We start from the raw sequence: 19805 nt of genomic DNA on the forward strand, positions 1-19805 counted from the left end.
TATTTTTTAGTAGAGATGGGGTTTCACCATGTTGGCCAGGCTGGTCTCGAACTCCCAACCTCAGGTGATCTACCTGCCTCGGCCTCCCAAAGTGCTGGGATTACAGGTGTGAGCCACTGTGCCCGGTCAACATCTTTAGATAGTTACAGGAGACTCTTCTCCTCCATAAAGGGGAGAGGACCCCGAGGCAGGGGAAGGATGAGCTGGAAGTCACCCAGTAGGAATGTGGCCCCAAAGCCTTGTGCACTGGGCTTCCTAGAGCCCAGATAGGGGTGATGATGCCACGGGTGGGGGCATGGGGCCCACAATGGCAACATCTCACCACTGGTTCTCCAGGAGCCCAGCTGCCTGGTAGCTCTCAGCTGTTGCAGATGCAACCCAGCTTCCCATTCGGGAGGCGCCCTCCAGCGCCACCTGCTGGAGCACCCACAGCACCAGCAGACGTGTCAGGCTTGCACCCGGTGCTGTGCGCTTGTCCCTTCCCAGGTGGGGGTGTCAGGTTGGGGAGGAGGACCCTGCCTAGGGCAGTAGGAATTGGGCATCTCCTTGAGCTTCCGGTCTGGGCTGTTTGGGAGCACTGAAGGAGGAGTGCCCTTATCCCACCTTCTCCCCCACAACCAGTATGGGGTCCTCATTTGAGAGAAGGATCCAGGTGCAGTCAGCCTGGGTGCACTAGCCCTTTGGGGCCAGGAACAGTTGTAGGTGCCAGGCCTGCCCCGTCTCTGCCGAGGAAGTAAAAAGATCCCAGGGGCCGAGTGCAAGAGCTTAGGCCTGTAACCCCAGCACCTTGGGAGGCCAAGGCACAAGGATCACTTGAGACTAGGAGTTCGAGACCAGCCTGGGCAACATAGCAAGACCCCCATCTCTACCAAAAAAAAAAAAAAAAAAGCAAAAGCCAGATGTTATGGCATGCATCCGTGTTCCCAGCTACTCGGGGGGCTAAGGTGAGAGGATTGCCTAAGCCCAGAAGTTGGAGGCAGCAGTGAGCTATGATCATACCACTGCAGTCCAGCCTGGGTGACAGAGGGAGACCCTGTCTCTATAAAAAAAAACAAAACAAACAAAACCCTTAAAGCCTCCCTAAAGCCCTCATTTTCACCTTCCTGTAATATTGAGTGGAAAAAGCCCGATCCCCCCTTAAACCACCTCCCTCCCTCTCTGCCCTGCCCCTGACCGTTGCTGCAGGAGGAACACCCCACGGAGCTGACTGATCTTATTTTAAACTCATGGGAACAAATTTTGAGGGAGGTGCAGCTTCTCTGGCTGTGCTGCTCTGTCTTGTGTGCGATCCGCTTTGAGACAACCATTCACACCACCTCTCCTCTCAGCCTCCTACACCCCTGCCCACTTTCTCTCACCTCTTTGAGAAAATAGAAGCAAATTGGGTAGGAAGGCCCTTCCCAGCAACAAACCTAACAAACTGCTGGCATCTAGACTGTCCTCCCTCCTCTTCCCACCCTGGGCTCCTCCCCTTGGGCTCTAGGAGAGAGGGCTGCATTCCTTCACTGATTGCCGTCCTCTCCTGTGCTGTCAATTTTTTTTTCTTTTTTTTTTTTTTCTTGAGACTGAGTCTCGCTCTGTCACCCAGGTTGGAGTGCAGTGGCGTGATCTCAGCTCACTGCAACCTCTGCCTCCTGGATTCAAGTGATTCTCCTGCCTCAGCCTCCCGAGTTGCTGGGACTACAGTCATGCACCACCATGCCCTGCTAATTTTTGTATTTTTGGTAGACATGGGGTTTTGCCATCTTGTCCAGACTGATCATGAACCCCTGACCTCATGATCTGCCTGCCTTGGCCCCCCAAAGGGCTGGGATAACAGGTGTGAGCCACTGTACCCAGCTGATATGCCATCAATTTCTTCTCTCCTGCATCATCATCATCAGGATATAGACATGTCTACTCTGTCCATATAAAACAACTCCCTTAACCCTATGAGCCCCTCTAACTTCCACCTCTCCTTTTTCCATCACAGCCAAATTTTTCCAGAGTTCTCTGTGGTCTCACTTTCCATTCCTCATCTCTCATTATCTCTTCAAACCACTCCAGATAGGGCCAAACGTGGTGGCTCACGCCTGTAATCCCAGCACTTTGGGAGGCCGAGGTGGGTAGATCACCTGAGGTCGGGAGTTCAAGACCAGCCTGGCCGACATGGTGAAACCCTGTCTCTACTAAAAATACAAAAGTGAGCCAGGTGTGGTGGTGGGTGCCTGTAATCCCAGCTACTCGGCAGGCTGACGGAGGAGAATCGCTTGAACCTGGGAGGCAGAGGTTGTAGTGAGCGAGATTGCGCCATTGTACTCCAGCCTGGGCAACAAAAGCAAAACTCCGACTCAAAAAAACACCCCAGTTTGCTTCTGTCTCTGCCCCTTACTTTATGGAAACTGCTTTATTCGGCATCACCAGTAATGTCCCGTTGCTAAATCCAGTAGTTGATCGGTCACTTGGCACAGTTGGCCATTCCTCCCATGCTGGGCTTTCCTGACATCACCTGTTCTAGTTTTCTTTCTCGCTTCTCTCAGTAGGTTCCCTAAGGCCCACTTCTCATGCTGACATTCTTGTCCAATCGCATGACCTCAGATGGTCTCTATACCACTGACCTCAGAATCCATTACTCCAGCTCCGACCTCACCCAAGAGCTCTGGACTCATTTCCAATCCATGCCTTGATGTCTCCACGTGGACCTCAATTGGTGATCAGGCTTTGGCTCTTGCCAATGAAATGCAAGGGGAAATGACATCACATGCCTGTTCTTCCCTTTTCCATATAAATGGGTGACCAGCAATGTTCCAAGTGGAAGCTGCTCCAACCACCTGGGTCCCAGGGAGAAAATGGCATGAGGTGCAGCCACAGCTGACCTGCAACAGACATGTGGCAGGAGTGAGAAATGTTTGCTGTATTAAGCAACGGAGATTTGGGGGGTTTTGTTACCACAGTATAACCTAGCCTATCCTGACTACTTTGTGTGCCTCACAGGATTGTAAGATCTCATAGGTCATAGGGGAAACTCCTCTAAATTGTATGCAAGGGGCCAGGTGCAGTGGCTCACGCCTGTTATCCCAGCACTTTGGGAGGCCGAGGTGGGTGGATCACCTGAGGTTGGGAGTTCAAGACCAGCCTGGCCAACATGGTGAAACCCCGTCTCTACTAAAAATACAAAAAAAAAAAAAAAAACACAAAAAAAACTAGGCGTGGTGGCACACGTCTGTAATTCCAGCTACTCAGGAGGCTGAGGCAGGAGAATCGTTTGAACCCCGGAGGTGGAGGCTGCAGTCTGCCGAGATCGTGCTACTGCACTCCAGCCTGGGAGAGGGCAAAACTCCATCTTAAAAAAAAAAAAAAAAAATTATATGCACGAAGAGGGGCCCAGCACAGGCCATAGAGTGGGGAAGACAGGACTTGCTGGAAATACAGTGAGCTTCTGTCTCCAAAAAAAAAAAAAAAAAAAAAAATTAGATTAATTTTTTTTTAACTTTACATTTTTAAAATTTTAATTATTAGGTTTAACCTCAAATTTTTTTTTTTTTTTTTTTTTGAGACAGGGTCTTGCTCTGGCTTGGTGGTTAAATATTTTGAATTTCATCCCTGGGGCTTAGGGTTGCCCCAAGCAACCTGTTTACTGAAAGAAGCCTGAAATATACATTGAATTTTTTTTTCTTTTTAGACAGAGTCTCGCTTTGTCGCCCAGGCTGGAGTGCAGTGGCATGATCTCGGCTCACTGCAACCTCTGCTTCCCAGGTTCGAGCAATTCTCCTACCTCAGCCTCCTGAGTAGCGAGAATTACAGGCGTGTGCCACCACGCCTGGCTAATTTTTGTATTTTTTGAGACAGAGTTTTGCTACTGTTGCCCAGGCTGGAGTGCAATGGCACAATCCCGGCTCACTGCAACCTCTGCTTCCTGGGTTCAAGCGATTCTCCTGCCTCAGCCTCCCAGGTAGCTGGGATTACAGGTGCCTGCCGCCACACCCAGGTAATTTTTGTATTTTTAGTAGAGATGAGGTTTCACCATGTTGGCCAGGCTGGTCTTGAACTCCTGACCTCAGGTGATCTGCCCGCCTTGGCCTCCCAAAGTGCTGGGGTTACAGGCATGAGCCACAGCGCCTGGCCCTAGTTTTTTATATCTTAAAAATTAGGCCTATGTCTAATCCAAAAAAAGTGTTTTTAGATTAAATTAGCTAGGTGTGGTGGCATGTGCCTGTAGTCCCAGCTACTCAGGAGGCTGAAGTAGGAGGATCACTTGAGCTCAGGAATTTGAGGCTGCAGTGAGCTATGACGGCATCACTGTACTCCAGCCTGGGCAACAGAGTGAGACCCTGTCTCAAAAACATACATAGAGAACAGTGTGATCTCTGAAGAAGTTCAACACAGCCTGTTTTTCTCTAGCACTAGAACAAATGGCTTTTCTTTGGTTGAATACCAAAGTAATTGATGTGTTGAAGGACCCCCTTTATAAGAAAAATCTGTGTCTTTCAACAGCGAACACATTCAGCATGGTAAGATGCTGTTTACCGAATCAGTTTCCTCTTCCACTTACGCCCACAACTAATCTGTGTCCCAGCTTCCCTTGTCCTCAGACACTGCCGTGTGACCGAGTTGTAGCCAATGGAATGGAAGTGGAAGTAATAAGTGCTAATTTCCTGTCTTTCCATAAAAACTTGGCTCCTGCAACCTCCATACACATCATCTGCCTACATGATGCAAACAAGCTGGGCAGTCCCAGGAGCCACGTGTTGAAAATGGCAGAATCACAGAACAGGAGATGCCCGAATTCCTGAATCGCCGCTTGCAGGAGAGCTGTCTCCCAGTCGGCAGCATCTGATTAAGATTTAATATGAGTTAGAAATAAAATAATGTTCTTTCTTTTTTTTTTTTTTTTTTGAGACAGAGTCTTGCTCTGCCTCCAGGCTGGAGTGCAGTGGCACGGTCTCGGCTCACTGCAACTTCCGCCTCCTGGTTCAAGTGATTCTCCTGCCTCAGCCTCCCGAGTAGCTGGGACTACAGGCGTGCACCACCACACCCAGTTAATTTTTGTATTTTTTGTAGAAATGAGGTTTCACCATGTTGGCCAGGCTGGTCTCGAACTCCTGACCTCAGGTGATCCCCCACCTCAGCCTCCCAAAATGCTGGGATTATAGGTGTGAGCCACCACGCCTGGCCAACTCTTTAACTCTTTTGTAGCAATGGGGACTTGCTATGTTACCCAGGCTAGTCTCAAGCTCCTGACCTCAAGTAATCCTCCTGTTTCAGCCTCCCAAAGTGCTGGGATTACAGGCATGTGCCACCACAACCAGTCTAGAAATAAACTATCATGTTTGAGGCACTACACATCTTGAAGTTTGTTACAGTAGTTAGGGTTATTTTTAATCACAGAAGGAGAGCCTTGAAGACTGAGACTGCCTAGAGGAACAGCAAATGTACAGGTACTGATCTCCTGCCCTCCGAGGCGCAGTCATTGAGTGGAACAAACAAATGAAACTTCTTACACAGTGGCGTGGTGATCATTCATTTATTCTGAAGGCATATAGCTGATTCCAGAAGGCTATTACTGCACATATAACGTGACTCCACTATGTTCCCTAGATCAAATATAGATACTCCAGGGCCCAGGTCAGCTCAGCCTTTCCCCACTCCCCACCTCCAGATCAAGGGCTCTGCAGGTTCTTCCTGAGCCCAGGCCAGCCACTGGACATGGAACGCCGGCACCAGTCTGACTGCGAGCCACGTCCCTGTAGGCCAAGGGGACTTAGAAGCCCTCCTGTGAGTCTTCAGTGCTACCCTACAAGCCTCAGGATGCTCGGGTGCAGATTCTTTTAGACTGCCCGTGCTCACACTCTCCTCCTCAACTCTCTTTTTTAAGATCACATATGGCCAGGTGCAATGGCTCACGCCTACAATCCCACCACTTTAGGAGGCCGAGGCGGGTGGATTACCTGAAGTCAGGAGTTCGAGACCAGCCTGGCCAACATGGAGAAACCCCATCTCTACTAAAAATACTAAATTAGCCGGGCGCGGTGGCGGGTGCCTGTAATCCCAGCTACTCAGGAGGCTGAGGAAGGAGAATTGCTTGAACCCCAGGGGCAGAGATTGTAGTGAGCCGAGATTGCACCACTTTACTCCAGCCTGGGCTAAAGAGTGAAACTTCTGTCTCAAAAAAAAAAAAAAAATCACATATGGCCAGGCATGGTGGTTCATGCCTGTAATTGCAGCACTTTGGGAGGTTGAGGTGGGAGGATCACTTGAGCCCAGGAATTCAAGACCAACCTGGGCAACATAAGGATACCCCATCTCTACAAAAAAATACAAAAATAGTGTGCTGGGGGTGGTGGTGCCGCCTGTAGTCCCAGCTACTCAAGAGGCTGAGGCTGGAGGATCACTTGAGCCCAGGAGGCAGATGTTGTGATGAGTCGAGATGGAGCTACTGCACTGCAACCTGGGTGACAGAGTGAGACCTTGTCTCAAAACAAAACAACTCAATGTAGCTGGATTTACACAGTCAGCCTTCTGATGTCACTGTAAATGGTTAGAGCCAAGGAGCCTAGGAGCCAGCCAGGGACATGGGAGTCAGGCAGGCCAAGGGCTCTGTCCTCTGGGGCTGGAGAGAGAGGACCCACCAGGCTGGAGGAAGAGCCAACAGGAAGGAGAAAGGGCTGCAGGGCAGGCACAGGGACAGCCCCTGACCCAGTCTCCTACCTTGACTGCAGCAGGCCAGGTAGTGGGGTGCCCACAGCTGGAAACGCACCTCAGTTTTTTGTTTTTTGTTCTTTTGAGACGGAGACTCATCTGTCGCCAGGCTGGAGTGCAGTAGCACAATCTTGGTTCACTGCAACCTCTGCCTCCCAGGTTCAGGCGATTTTCCTGTCTCAGCCTCCCGAGTAGCTGGAACTACAGTAGGCGCGTGCCACCACACCCAGGTAATTTTTAGTAGAGACAGGGTTTCACCGTGTTAGCCAGGGTGGTCTCTATCTCCTGACCTCGTGATCTGCCCACCTTGGCCTCCCAAAGTGCTGGGATTACAGGCGTGAGCCACCACACCCACCGCACCTCAGTTTTGTGCACCAATAGCTTCTTCAAGCACAGGTCTGTCCCTGCCACTGTCCTGCTTTAAGCCCCTCAACGTTCATCCTATACGTGTCCCCCAAAAAGCGCGAGATGATTTACCGCAGCACCATTCACAGTGGTAGGACCAGGTTAAACTGAATTTTTTTTTGAGACAGAGTCTCACTCTGTCACCTAGGCTGGAGTGCAGTGGTGCGATCTCAGCTCACTGCAACCTCTGCCTCCCGGGTTCAAGCGATCCTCCTGCCTCAGCCTCCCGAGTAGCTGGGATTACAGGCGCCTGCCACCACGCCTGGCGTTCTATGCAACCATTCAGAAGCCCGCTGGCGTGAAAGTACTGCGTACAATTAAGTGTTCAGGTACAGGCTCTGGAACCAGACTGGCCAGGCTGCCACCTCTCGGGGCCTGTTTCCTCTCTGGGGAATGAGAACAGTAACAGGGCTGTCGTATTGTGTGCAACTGTACAATTGTGAGATAAGATAATGCACGCAAATAGCACTTAGAGCAGGGTAGCTTGTGTTAGCAGAACAGCACATACATAAAATGAATGTTAAGATATGGAAATGGGCTAGACACAGTGGCTCACACCTGTAATTCTAGCGCTTTGAGAAGCCAAAGCAGGAGGATCACTTGAGGCCAGGAGTTTGAGACCAACCTGTGCAACACAGTGATACCCCCATCTCTACAGAAAAACATAAAAATTAGCCGGGCATGGTGGTGCATGCCTGTAGTCCCAGCTGTTCAGCAGGCTGAGGCAGGAGGACTGCTTGAGCCTGAGAGGTCGAGGCTGCAGTGAGCTATGATCATGCCACTGCACTCCAGCCCAGGTGACAGAGAGAGACCCTGTCTCCACAGTAAAATTTTAAAAAGTCCTCTGGGCTCCTAGGCCGCCCCAGCTGGCTTCTGCGTCGCCTCTCACCAGCTCTCCCAGCCCCCAACCCCCACTCCCCCAACCTCCCTGGAGCACTTGGTGCTCCAGGCCCTGTGACCTAGATCTGTTTCTTTTTTTTTTCCCCACCTTGACTGGAGCAGGCCAGGTTGGCAGGGATGGTAGGGGTGCCTGATGCGCTTGAAACACACCTGCTTTGTGCACAATTTTTTTTTTTTTTTTTTAGACGGAGTCTCGCTCTGTCACTGGGCTAGAGTACAGTGGCATGATCTTGGCTTACTGCAACCTCCACCTCCTGGGTTCAAGCAATTCTCCCACCTCAGCTTCCTGCGTAGCTGGGACTACAGGCGTGCACCACCACACCTGGCTAATTTTTGTATTTTTTGTAGAGATGGGGTTTCACCATGTTGGCCAGGCTAGTCTTTAACTCCTGACCTCAAATGATCCACCCCCTTGGGTGGATCCCAGAGTTCTGGGATTACAGGTGTGAGCCACTGTGCCCGGCCTAGATCTGTTCCAATTTCTGTTGTCACTGTAAATGGTTAGAACCAAGGAGCCCAGGAGCCAGTCAGGGATGTGGGACCCAGGCCGACCAAGGGCTCCGTGCTCTGGGGCTGGAGAGTGCTCAGAGGACCCACCATGCCGGAAGAAGAGCTGACAGGAAGGAGAAAGAGGTGCAGAGCCCAGGGGCCTCTCTGGCCTCCCTGCCTTCCCATGCCATTCCCTCAGCTAAGAACCAATCTCCTCTGCACTAACCCTTTCCTCTCCAATCCCTACCAGCCTTCTACATGGGATACCCAGCCCCTTCACCAAACCCTAAATCAGGTCCTAGGTGTCTTCTACTCCCACCCCCAACGAGCACTTTCCTATGTTATTGTAGAGGAAGCCAGCTGCCCAGTACCCAGTGAATCCCCTGGGCCTAGCACAGGAGTTGAGGCTCAGTACATGTCTGGTAAATTTCTGCTCTCCTGGACACGGGGGCCTCTTGGGCCACTTGGCTAAGCTATCATGCAGATAGAATGAGTAACATCTGCAAAGAACCCGCAGCACAGAGTCTGGCATGCGGTACAGTAGTTTAAAAACCACAGATGGCAGGGGATAGATGCCCAGAACAGTGCCTAGTATATGATAGGAGCCCATAAAAAGAGGGAACAGTGTTTCTCAACATTACTGGAAGAATTCCCCGGCATTCAAGTTGCAGGTTTCTGAGCCCATCCCTAGAGCTTCTAACTCTGAAGGTTGGCTGCAGGGTCCAAGAAGTTGCATTTATTTTATTTTTTGAGACATCTTGTTTTGTCGTCCAGGCCGGAGTACAGTAGCATGATCATGACTCACTGCAGCCTTGACTTCCCAGGCTCATTCAATCCTTTCACTGCAGCCTCCCCAGTAGCTGGGACTAAGGCACACACCACCACACTTGGCTAATTTTTGTATTTTTTTTTTTGTAGAGACGGGGTCCTGCCATGTGACCCAGGCTGGTCTTGAACTCCTGGACTCAAGTGATCTTCCCACCTCAGCCTCCCAAAGTGCTGGGATTACAGGCCAGGCGTGAGCCTCCAAGACGGGCCAAAGTTGCTTTTTTTTTTTTTTGAGACTGCCTGGCTCTGCCTCCCAGGCTGGAGTGGCACCATTACGGATCACTGCAACCTCTCCCTCCTGCCTCCCAGGCTCAAGCCATCCTCCCACCTCAGCCTCCTGAGTAGCTGGGACCACAGGCATGTGCCACCACATTTGGCTATTTTTGTTATTTTTTGTAGAGATGGGGTTTCACCATGTTGGTCAGGCTGGCCTCGAACTCCTGTACTAAATCCACCCAACCTTGGCCTTCCAAAATGCTGGGATTACAGGCATGAGCCACCACACCTGGCTTGAATTTGCATTTTAAAGAAATATCCAGCCAGGCTTTGTGGCTCATGCCTGTAATCCCAGCACTTTGAGAGGCTAAGGTGGGAGGATCACTTGAGGTCAGGAGTTTGGGGCTGCAGTGAGCTATGATTGCACCACTGCACTCCAGCTTGGACGACAGAGTAGGACTCTGTCTCTAAAAAAAAAAAAAAAAAAAAAGAAAGAAAAGCAAAAAAGAGAAATAGAAATATACCACAGGTGGTCTAAGGACCACACTCTGAGAAACCAACTCATTGACAGACGAGTATTTATTAAGCAGCTACTATATGCCAGGTTCAAGTTGGTCTTACTCTAGGGATAGAGAAGAGAACAAGAAAAGTCTGTGCCTTCATGGAGTTTACATTCTAGTGAGGGTAGAAAATATCAAGAATATAAATACATGTAGACAGTCAGTGACATCAAACAAGTGGGCGGTGGGGACACCACATGAGCATGGGTGGCAGGAGGGCCTCTCTGTGAGGTCACTGTGGGTAGACGGAGAAGCCAGCCAGCAAACTGGAGGAAAAGCACCCAGACGGACGTCCTTCCCTAAGCTCCCTCAACCCAGGCCCTGAGCCAAGAATATCTGAAAGGAAACCAAGTCAAATAGTGAAGTCCCGCCAGGACCAGGGTAGGCAGGACAGAGGAGCCGGTGACAGGGAAGGCTGTGGATGGCTTCTTCCCTCCTGGGCATGGTGCCCCAAGCTTGCTCTGGCTGGGGGCGGAGGTCTGACTCCCGCCTTTCAGGAAACCTGGCCCTCACACCACCTCCCTCACTCAAGCGTCCCTAGCATCTCGGACCCCAGGACTGAGCAGGCAGGGTGTGACACTGCCCGGTCCCGGCACCCCAGGAGCACCGCCTGGATGGAGGGGGCCTCCCGCGTATCCTCCCTGATTTGAGGCCCGGGTCCTCAGGATCCCAGAGAACGTGACGTCACCAAAGAGAGGCTGACCCCCATCCCAGCAGGTAGAACAACACATGAGGAAGGCGTGAGACTGGGACCTCCTAGCAGGGGGTGGGGAGCTGTGTGGCACAGCAAGACTCCCAGGGCAGGTGGGCAGCCAGGACCCGGGGCTCCAGCGTCACTTCTTCTTGGCGCGGTCTGCTGCGTCCAGGGCAGCCATGTTGCGGGCGGCCGTGATCAGGTGGATGACGCTGATGAGCGACTTCAGCAAGGCGATGGGGGCAGTGACCCAGAGGCCCATCCGGAACAGTCCCACAGAGCCAACTGCAGGAAGGCAGCAGGGGAGTTTGGGGCCCGAAGGAGGGGGCCTCCATCTCCCTGGGCAGGCCAGATCCCCCTCCCATCCTCCTGCCCAGCCCCTCATCTCCTACCTAAAGGTCCCTCAGAGAAATGGAACAGGTAGAGGAGGCAGTAGAAGAGCTCATTCCCAGCACACAAGGTGAACAGAGCAGGCTGCACACACAGCAAACAGGCCACGTTAGCAAGAGGCAGGCGTGTGCCACCCCCTGCCCCCCCAGCACTAATGAAGGCACAATCTCGGCATATTACTTCTCTTATTTTTTTTTCTTTTTTACAGACAGGGTCTCGCTCTCTCATCCAGGTTGGAATGCAGTAGTATGATCATAGCACTGCAGCCTCAAAACTCCTGGTCTCAGCCAGGCGTGTGGCTCATGCCTGGAGTCCCAGCACTTTGGGAGGCTGAGACAGGCGGATCACCTGAGGTCAGGAGTTTGGGACCAGCCTGGCCAACGTGGCGAAACCCCTCTCTACTAACAATACAAAAATTAGCCGAGTGTGGTGGCACGTGCCGGTAGTCCCAGCCACTCAGGAGGCTGAGGCACAAGAATCGCTTGAACCCAGCAGGCAGAGGTTGCAGTGAGCCGATAACCCGCCACTGAACTCCAGCCTGGGTGACAGAGCAGGACTCTGTCTCAAAAAAATAAATAAATAAATAAATAAACCCTTGGTCTCACGCAATCCTTCCACCTTAGCCTCCTAAGTAGAGACTACAGGCGTGTACCACTGTGCCTGGCTAAGCTAATTCAAGATTTTGTGTGTGTGTGGAAACAGAGTCTCACTTTGTTGCCCAGGCTGGTCTCAAACTCCTGGCCTCAAGCAATCCTCCCACCTCAGCCTCCCAAAGCGCTGGGATTACAGGCATGAGCCACCATGCCCAGCCATTATCTTTTTAAAAATCCTTCCAGAGGCTGCCTGTGTTCCTGGAATCAAGTCCACACTCCAGCCCTGCAGACCTCTCTGGCTTATCTCCCTTCCCGCTTTCAGTCCCTTCTCTTTGCAGGCCTCATTCCCACTTGTTCCCTGGAGTAATTCACACAGGCCTTCCCCACCAATCCTCCTCCTCCACGCCTCAGCTTACGGGCCCTCCTCCTGGAGTGACTGGGCAGGCCCTGCTCTGCGCCCTCGCCTTCTCCTAGGCTAGGACCAGGATTCAGCCCAGGGCTTCCCACAGCCAAGAGCCTGAGGGGTGGGGTGTGCAGGAAATGCTTACCCTCGAGGTGTAGTAGATCCGAAGCACCGGATTCCCGGACAAGTCGATCATCTTGTGACTCTCACTGCCTCGGACCACAGAACTTGGGGAGAAAACAGGGGAACCCACAAGGTTTCATGACCACTACCATGCATCCAATCCTCATGTTAACACCTATTGTACAGATGGAAAACTGGGCACGGCTAAGGACCAGTATCCTGCCGAAAGCCACAGTTACCTATTTGGGGGCAGAGTCAGGATTCAAATGCCACATTTGAAAGCTCCCATGCCCCTTCCTATAAGCTGTCACCTATATGGAATCCTAGAATACCCAGCCAGAAGAGTCCTAAGAATTGCTTAATGCAACTGTAAACATGACTGAAGCTTTAAAGAGAGGCAGGTTTGCCTGGGGTCTTTCTACAAAGCAGAGCTAAAAAGGAGCCCTTCCAGGATGCCTAGTGCCATCCCAGACACCCTTCCGTCTAGGCTCAGCCCACCCCACTGTAATGTCTCCAAGTGGCCCAGGCCCCCAGAATCGCAGCAGACCTGTGGAGGTGCAGCCAGTGACTGGCCACATCCAAACTCATGCTGATTTGGAAGAACAGCGTGGCTCCAGGGTACAGCAGGGCCAGGTTGACCAACAGGCACATGGTGGAGCAGCGGTCCGTCAGCATGTCCAGCATGGCCCCAAACCGGGTTCCTGGAAGATTAGGTGGGCAAGGGCTGTTATGGCACAGTGGATGCAGGACAGGTGCCCATATTTGGTTTATCACTCTGACGCAGGGTGTAAACGAAGACTGGAAGTGTCCGCCTGCCTGGGGAGGAACGCAGGCTAGAAAACAGGCTGTGTGTGAGGTCAGTGGGCAAAGGTCACCATGGCATGAACTGAGAAAGGCATGAGAGTGGAGGGAACAGGGTAGGAGGAGAGGAAAGCTATGTCTGCAACTCATCAACCCCAGAACCAAGACTCCAGGGCTAGATAGAGACTTGATGCCTCAGGGGAAGCCTTACAGTTGGGTCTGGAGAACAGATTAAAAAATTAGTCAACCCTCCAGAAGCCATCACCCTTCCCTCTCCATCCTCCCTCTAAGCATGCCTTCTGGAACCCCAACTGCTTATGCAGGGCACACAGTAGGCCTCCAGTAAACACCTGTTGAATACACTGTTTTTTGTTTTTTGTTTTTTTTTTTCCGAGACAGAGTCTTGCTCTGTCGCCCAGGCTGGAGTGCAATGGCGCAATCTTGGCTCACTGCAACCTCCGCCTCCCGGGTTCAAGCAATTCTCCTGCCTTAGCCTCCCGAGTAGCTGGGATTACAGGCACGCGTCACCAAGCCCGCTAATTTTTGTATTTTTAGTAGAGACAGGGTTTCACCATGTTGGCCAGGCTGGTCTCGAACTCCTGAACTCGTGATCCACCCACCTCGGCCTCCCAAAGTGCTGGGATTACAGGCGTGAGCCACCGCCCCTGGCCTGAATGGACTTGTATTCAGAGAGACCTCCAGCAGCGCCACCGCCATGTCATGTCTTGCTAATCCACACCTCTCACAAGCAGTGAGTTCTCAAGAGCTAGCTTAAATTCCTTTTGCTACAAAATCAGTCCATTCTTGCTGGGCGCGGCACTTTGGGAGCAAGGCAGGAGGATCGCTTGAGGCTAGGAGCTGGGGACCAATCTGGGCGACACTGCAAGACCCAGTCTCTACAAAAATTTAAAAATTAGCCGGGTGTGGTGGCACGCTCCTGTAGTCCCAGCTAGTCAGGAGGCTGAGGTGGGAGGATTACTTGAGCCCAGAAGATGGGGGCTGCAGTGAGCCATGATCGCGCCACTGCACTCCAGCCTAAGTGACAGAGCGAGACCCTGTCTCAAAAACAAAAAAACAAAACACAAAACAAAAAGCCCCAGGCCATCCTGTTCTGCTTTTTCCAGAGATGGGAATGACAGCCCTCTGACTCTGAGGTCCCGAGGAGGCAGGGGAAGGGAGGAGGGGATTGTTGAACCCCAAGGCTGGCTGAGAGGGGTGTCTGTCACCTTGATTAAGAGCGCGAGCAGCGTGTCCATCGAAAGCGTCCAGCAGGCCGCTGAGCAGGTAGAAGGAGGAGGCCGTGAGGGGGCAGCAGGGCATGAAGTAGAAAGAAATGATGGCGAAGACAATCCGGGCATAACCTTGGAACGGGACGCGGGGAGACAGGGCAGGATCAGGGAGCCCGCCAAGGCCCCTCGCCCTCTCGTTCGGCCCGGGGCCGTGGGCAGCACTCACCGATGAGGTTGGGCACGAACAGGAAGATATTTTCGTCTGGCATCGCGGCGCCTCCCTTGCTGCCCCGGGCCTGCTCTGGAGATGCCAGTGCTGTCCCAGCCCCGCAGCGCGGCCTCAGCCTCCGGCCCGGCGCATCGGCCGCACCACCTGCGCCCTGGACCCCGCCGCCCCAACCTGGCCCCAGATGCTGAAGCCCGCAGCCGTCGGGAGCATGGACCGGCCCCGAGGTGCGCGGGACGCAGGGGGCGCGCGCAGTCCGCCCTTCCTACCCGCAACCTCCCTCGCCTCTGCCAGCCCCGCAGGCGCTCCGGGCCTCCAGCTGCGGTCGCCGCTGCTCCAGCTGCGCGTGGCTTCCGGGAACCTCCTCCTCCGCGCCCGTCGTTGCAAAATTGGAGAGAGGAAAAAGTGGCTTAAAAAAATAGTTGCGGCCCCTTTAAGGCCTGTCGGCTTCCTTTCCCTTTTCCTCCCTCCGCCCCTCTCCCTTGGCTCGTACCAAAGCGCAGAGGAGGAGAGGGAGGAAGGAACCATTAACGTCAAGCAAAGTTAGAAACGGAAAAGGAAAGGGTAAAAGAGAAGACCGAATAAAAATCTCTGCTTTCCTTTTGTGGAGGGTATGACTTCCTGGAGGCAAAGATAAGGCGATAAAATTCCTCCTCCTGAGTCTTTGCGTCCCCAAGAGGCCAGGAGATTTGGTGCAGTCCTCACTTTACTCCCCGCCCCCTAAGTCTCCAGCCGCCTTTGCTCTCGCAGGCTCTAGGCGGCTAGAGAGGCTCCAGAGCGCCCTGCAGATGGGTTGCTTTTCGCGTGCCCCTTGTGATGGGAGGATTAGGTCGCAGGCTCCACCCTACGTCATCCTCCCAAGCTTCTCAAGCGTCTGGCGCTTGGGGTCACTGCCCTCAAGGAGGCACCTGGAGGGGTACGGAGGGGAGGCTGGAGGAGCAAACGGGGCGCGCTAGGAAATTCCTCTGTCTTTAGTTCTAGAACCCCTGATCTCCTAGCAACGAGGCTGCGGAACCTCTGCAGACTCCAAGGGTTTTATAGCGTCCGGTAGCGACACGGAGCCGGCTCCCCCTTTTCCAGCCTTCCTCCCCATCTCCCATTCTCCATCCCCCACGACCTATACCAGAGGTCCTTAGGCCTCCACGTCTCTCCTTTTGCCGAGTAGCCCAAGGTTTCCACCCATCTGCCAGGTCTGGGGCGTCAAGTCGGCTGCCTCGGCTTGGGAAGGTGCTTGGGAGGGAAGAAGGAAGGAGAGGCCCACCAGGCGAAGGGGTGAGGGGTAGGGGGTTGCGGGAGTTCCCTCTCACTCCCGAAGATATAAAGCAACCTTTATTATTATTATTATTTTTTCTTGTGAGAGGGAATGAGGCAGCGGGATGTTTCCTCTAAAGGCCTTGTTTAAACCTGGGCCCGGGGAATGGTGGTGGACTGGGTTCTGGGGGAAAGCGGGCTGGTTTCTCAGGTCAACTCAGGCTTCGACTGTTCCCAGGGGGATGGCGTCCACTCCGATGGGGAATGAGGGGGAGAAGAAGAGCAGCTGGCCATCTCAAGCTGCACCCTCCTTGAGAGGAGGTCCGGTGAGCACTGCAGGGAACCCTAGAGGTGGGAATGTAATGAAGTGAAAGCCTCCCAGGCAGAGGCACCCCGTGCCAGGTCTGAGCCACGGGCCCTGAGACTCTAGCCTCAACCCTGAGTCCTGAAGCCCCGACTCATAGCTCTCAGCACTAGGCCCTGACTCTAAACCCCCACCAAACCCCCCTCCCCCAGGTCCAGAGCTTTCTAGCTAAATCTCAAGGCCCAGTCCTTCAGGAGCAAGCTCCTTGGACCCACAGGCCCCAGCCTGGGAACTCCCACAGCCAGCACTCCCATGTGGGAGCTCCCAGGCTGAACCCCTCCGGCTTTTCCTTTCCCAGGCTTCGTTATCTCGTTCTGAGGAATACCTGTCCCAGATCAGTGCAGAACTCATGGAGGAGGCTTTGTGCACTGCTTGCTGCCACTTGAACCCTGTGCCCATCAAAAAAAAGCAGTCACAAGACCAAGCGACTCAGATATCCAAACGCGGTAACCCCCTGCCTCAGGACCACCGTGTCTAGAGAACCGCTGCCCCCACTATGCCTGGTTACAGTCCCTGACCCCTCCCACCCCTAGCTGAACTCTCCAGGAGTCTGTGCCCATCTCATCCATCTCACAGCCAGCCCTAGGACCTGTGAAATGCCCCTCTCACCCGCTAACCCAGTACCCACTCCTCACTGCTGGCCGAGAATCCCCTTAGCCCCGTCTGCCCTGGCCGCATCTCTTCTGGCCACGGGGATAGTCCTTTCTCTGACTAGGTCCTCTACTTCCAGCATTCTTCACCAAGACCTGAGGCACAGACACCTGGTGAGTGAGGCTTCAAGGGAGATGCTCTTTGTCCTGGGAGAGAGGTGAGGAACCTGGAGGGGAGAGAGTGAGGGTTTCACAATATCCCAGCAGGGTGGGGGAATTTTTGAACCGTGCACTTCCATTCTATTCTGCCCTGATCCTCAAATTCTGAATTCTCAGCCCTCTCCCCTCTCTTCCACCATCTCCTGCTCGGACAGAAACCGTACCTGCAGCAAGGCATACCTCCTGCCAACTCCTGGTGAAAAGGTACATGCAGGGTCCATGGCTGCCAAGGCTATTCGATATTAACCAAACCTTTTGAGTTTGCACTATATGTTGGTCCCTGTCTTAGGAGCTTGGGACACTGAAATGAATGGTACAGTCTCAGCCCTTGAAGAGTTCACAGTTCAGTGTGGGGACAGACAAGGAAATGGCCAATTATAATACAGTCTGGATAAGTTTCCATAATAGAAATGGACACAGTGGGATAGTACTCTTATCCCAGCTTCAATTGGACAGGAAGGACAGGAGCCATGGAGCTTCTTCTTTTTTTTTTTGAGACGGAGTCTTGCTCTGTTGCCCAGGCTGGAGTGCAGTGGTGTGATCTCAGCTCACTGCAAGCTCCACCTCCTGGGTTCACGCCATTCTCCTGCCTCAGCCTCCCAAGTAGCTGGGACTACAGGCACCCGCCACCACACCCGACTAATTTTTTTGTATTTTTAGTAGAGACGGGGTTTCACCGTGTTAGCCAGGATGGTCTTGATCTCCTGACCTCATGATCCGCCCTCCTTGGCCTCCCATAGTGTTGGGATTACAGGCTTTGGAGCTTCTTGAAGGAGGTAGCACCTAAAGAAATAATTTTCCACCAGGTGCAGTGGCTCACACCTGTAATCCCAGCATTTTTGGGAGGCTGAGGTGGGCTGATCACTTCAGGGCAGGAGTTTGAGACCAGCCTGGTCAACATGGTGACAGAGGTTGCAGTGAGCTGAGATCATACCACTGCACTCCAGCCTGGGCGACAGTGAGACCATCTCAAAAAAAAAAAGAAATAATTTTCCAGGTTAAAAAAAAAAGAGGTTAGTAGGAGTCTTTCAAGCAGTTGGGGTTGCATGAACAAAGGCAAAGAGCAGTCTTCGCAGAGCCAGTGTGAGCATCTGTGTGTATTTAGGGCAGGGAGAAGCAGTTTAGCAGCTGGAGTCTACAGGCAAGGTAAGAGGGGACTCAAGAGACTTTATGTGCCTTGTTTAGAGCCTTACACACTTTCCTGGCTGGGTGTGGTCGCTTATGCCTGTAATCCCAGCACTTTGGGAAGCTGAAGCAGGAGGATCGCTTGCGTCCAGGAGTTTGAGACCAGCCTGGGCAACATGGTGATACCCCAGGCATGATGGCATGTGCCTGTGATCCCAGTTACTTGGGAGGTGGGAGGATCGCTTGAGCCCAGGAGTTCAAGAATAGCCTGGGCAACATAGAGAGACCCCATCTCTATAAAAAGTTAAAAAAATTAGCCAGGTGTGGTGGCACGAACCTGTGGTCTCAGCTACTTGAGAGGCGGAGGCCAGAGGATCACTTGAGCCTAGGAGGTTGAGGCTGCAGTGAACCATGTTCATGCCACCGCATTCCAGCCTGAGTGACAGTGCAAGACCCTGTCTCAAAAAGAAAAATTTAAAAAAAAGAAAAGAAAGAAAGAAATAGTAGGAGGAGCTGGGTGCGGTGGCTCATACCTGTAATCCCAGCACTTTGGGAGGCCAAGGCGGGTGGATCATGAGGTCAGGAGTTCAAGATCAGCCTGGCCAACATAGTGAAACCTTGTCTTAACTAAAAATACAAACGTTAGGTCAGGCGCGGTGGCTCACACCTGTAATCTCAGCACTTTGGGAGGCCCAGGCGGGCAGATCACCTGAGGTCAGGAGTTTGAGACCAGCCTGGCCAACATGGGGAAACCCTGTCTCTACTAAAAATACAAAAATTAGCTGGGTTGGTGGTATGCACCTCTAATCCCAGCTACTCAGGAGGCTGAGGCAGGAGAATCGCTTGAACCCAGGAGTTGGAGGTTGCAGTGAGCCGAGATCACACCACTGCACTCCAGCCTGGGCTGCAGAGCAAGACTCTTTCTCAAAAAAAAAAAAAAAAAAAAAAGCCAGGCATTGTGTCACGCACCTGTAATCCCAGCTACTTGAGAAGCTGAGGCAGAGACTTGATTGAACCCGGGAGGTGGAGGTTGCAGTGAGCTGAGATTGCACCACTGCACTCCAGCCTGGGCCACAGATCGAGACTCTGTCTCCAAAAAATTAAATAAATAAAAATTAAGCACTTACTATGTGCCAGCACTGCTCGAGGGGCTGGGGTGTTGCAGTGAACGAAACAGAGTTCCTGCTATCAAGAGGTTTAAAAAATTAGCCGGGTATGGTGGTGCACAGCTGTGGTCCCAGCTACTCGGGAGGCTGAGGTGGGAGGATCATTGGAGCCCAGGTTGAGGCTGCAGGAAGATATGATTACACCACTGCACTCTAGCCTGGCTGACAGAGGGAGACCTGTCTCGAGAAAAATAAAAAAGACATGAGCCTTGGGTCTAAAGAGTGAAAAGGCTCTGTCTCTTTTATGGAGCTCTTCCTAACAGTCAGTTTGGAAGATGAGCCCACCCCTCTTTGATGCTCTTGGCTTCTCATGCCTCCCCCTTTTTGTCCCTAGAACATGCCTCAAAACTACTCTTTTGCCACTCGTTAACCACTTCCGTTTGTGGGGACCTCCTGGTCATGAGCAGCATCATCCCGAAGCCTTCAAAGTGTTCTGGATTCATCACAGGACCCTCCAGCCTCAGCCAGCAAGGATACCACCAGGAATGAAAGTGCTTTAATAAAGAGACAGGGTGTGCATTGCTCATGTGTGGTTTCTCTGGGGTAGAGAAGCAG

The 19805-nt window shown here is 52.6% G+C and overlaps 1 protein-coding gene and 1 pseudogene across 5 annotated transcripts, besides 5 other annotated features; one reads left to right on the plus strand and one right to left on the minus strand.

Annotated features, from left to right (window-relative positions):
• Positions 269-563: an enhancer, noted in NCBI's record as "tiled region #13449; HepG2 Activating DNase unmatched - State 12:CtcfO". NCBI's record gives its function as "activates a minimal TATA promoter and a strong SV40 promoter by Sharpr-MPRA in HepG2 cells {active_cell/tissue: HepG2}" and the evidence as "EXISTENCE:reporter gene assay evidence [ECO:0000049][PMID:27701403]".
• CDIPT (CDP-diacylglycerol--inositol 3-phosphatidyltransferase) lies at positions 10078-14947 on the minus strand. Of its 3 annotated transcripts, none has more exons than NM_001286586.2 (6): positions 14536-14947; positions 14307-14356; positions 12827-12980; positions 12302-12383; positions 11163-11244; positions 10078-11055 (listed from the first exon to the last, which is right to left on the minus strand). In NM_001286586.2, exons 3-6 carry the CDS (start codon positions 12961-12963, stop codon positions 10910-10912), a joined length of 447 nt encoding a protein of 148 aa, NP_001273515.1. In that variant the 5' UTR covers positions 12964-12980; positions 14307-14356; positions 14536-14947; the 3' UTR covers positions 10078-10909. The 3 variants fall into 3 exon arrangements, with proteins under 3 accessions (NP_001273515.1, NP_006310.1, NP_001273514.1); NM_006319.5 differs by having other exon boundaries at positions 14307-14441; NM_001286585.2 differs by lacking the exon at positions 14307-14356.
• Positions 12374-12912: an enhancer, noted in NCBI's record as "H3K4me1 hESC enhancer chr16:29871974-29872512 (GRCh37/hg19 assembly coordinates)". NCBI's record gives its function as "activates a minimal SCP1, AML or CMV promoter by ChIP-STARR-seq in primed H9 embryonic stem cells {active_cell/tissue: H9 hESC(primed)}" and the evidence as "EXISTENCE:reporter gene assay evidence [ECO:0000049][PMID:30033119]".
• Positions 14640-14949: a silencer, noted in NCBI's record as "silent region_7341". NCBI's record gives its function as "represses an Ori minimal core promoter by ATAC-STARR-seq in GM12878 lymphoblastoid cells {active_cell/tissue: GM12878}" and the evidence as "EXISTENCE:reporter gene assay evidence [ECO:0000049][PMID:35858748]".
• Positions 14960-15019: a silencer, noted in NCBI's record as "silent region_7342". NCBI's record gives its function as "represses an Ori minimal core promoter by ATAC-STARR-seq in GM12878 lymphoblastoid cells {active_cell/tissue: GM12878}" and the evidence as "EXISTENCE:reporter gene assay evidence [ECO:0000049][PMID:35858748]".
• Positions 15068-15605: an enhancer, noted in NCBI's record as "H3K27ac-H3K4me1 hESC enhancer chr16:29874668-29875205 (GRCh37/hg19 assembly coordinates)". NCBI's record gives its function as "activates a minimal SCP1, AML or CMV promoter by ChIP-STARR-seq in naive H9 embryonic stem cells {active_cell/tissue: H9 hESC(naive)}" and the evidence as "EXISTENCE:reporter gene assay evidence [ECO:0000049][PMID:30033119]".
• On the plus strand, positions 15404-19774 carry CDIPTOSP (CDIP transferase opposite strand, pseudogene; annotated as a pseudogene). 2 transcript variants are annotated; one of them, NR_024370.1, is made up of 6 exons: positions 15404-15451; positions 16025-16112; positions 16449-16596; positions 16881-16958; positions 17077-17163; positions 19585-19774. The product of NR_024370.1 is annotated as a CDIP transferase opposite strand, pseudogene, transcript variant 2 (transcript). The 2 variants fall into 2 exon arrangements; NR_015396.1 differs by lacking the exon at positions 15404-15451 and adding an exon at positions 15555-15725.
• Positions 19775-19805: the final 31 nt, after the last annotated feature.

The sequence above is a fragment of the Homo sapiens genome, chromosome 16, assembly GCF_000001405.40.
Source record: "Homo sapiens chromosome 16, GRCh38.p14 Primary Assembly".
NCBI classification, from domain to species: Eukaryota; Metazoa; Chordata; class Mammalia; order Primates; family Hominidae; genus Homo; species Homo sapiens.

Excerpts from the sequence above, each read along its gene's own strand:
- CDIPT (NM_006319.5), bottom strand. The coding sequence starts at position 14,578 with ATGCCAGACGAAAATATCTTCCTGTTCGTGCCCAACCTCATCG. Across the intron at positions 14,442-14,535 it reads GTTCGTGCCCAACCTCATCG|GTTATGCCCGGATTGTCTTC; the intron begins GTGAGTGCTGCC and ends TCCCGTTCCAAG. Across the intron at positions 11,245-12,301 it reads GGATCTACTACACCTCGAGG|CCTGCTCTGTTCACCTTGTG; the intron begins GTAAGCATTTCC and ends CTGTGTGTGCAG.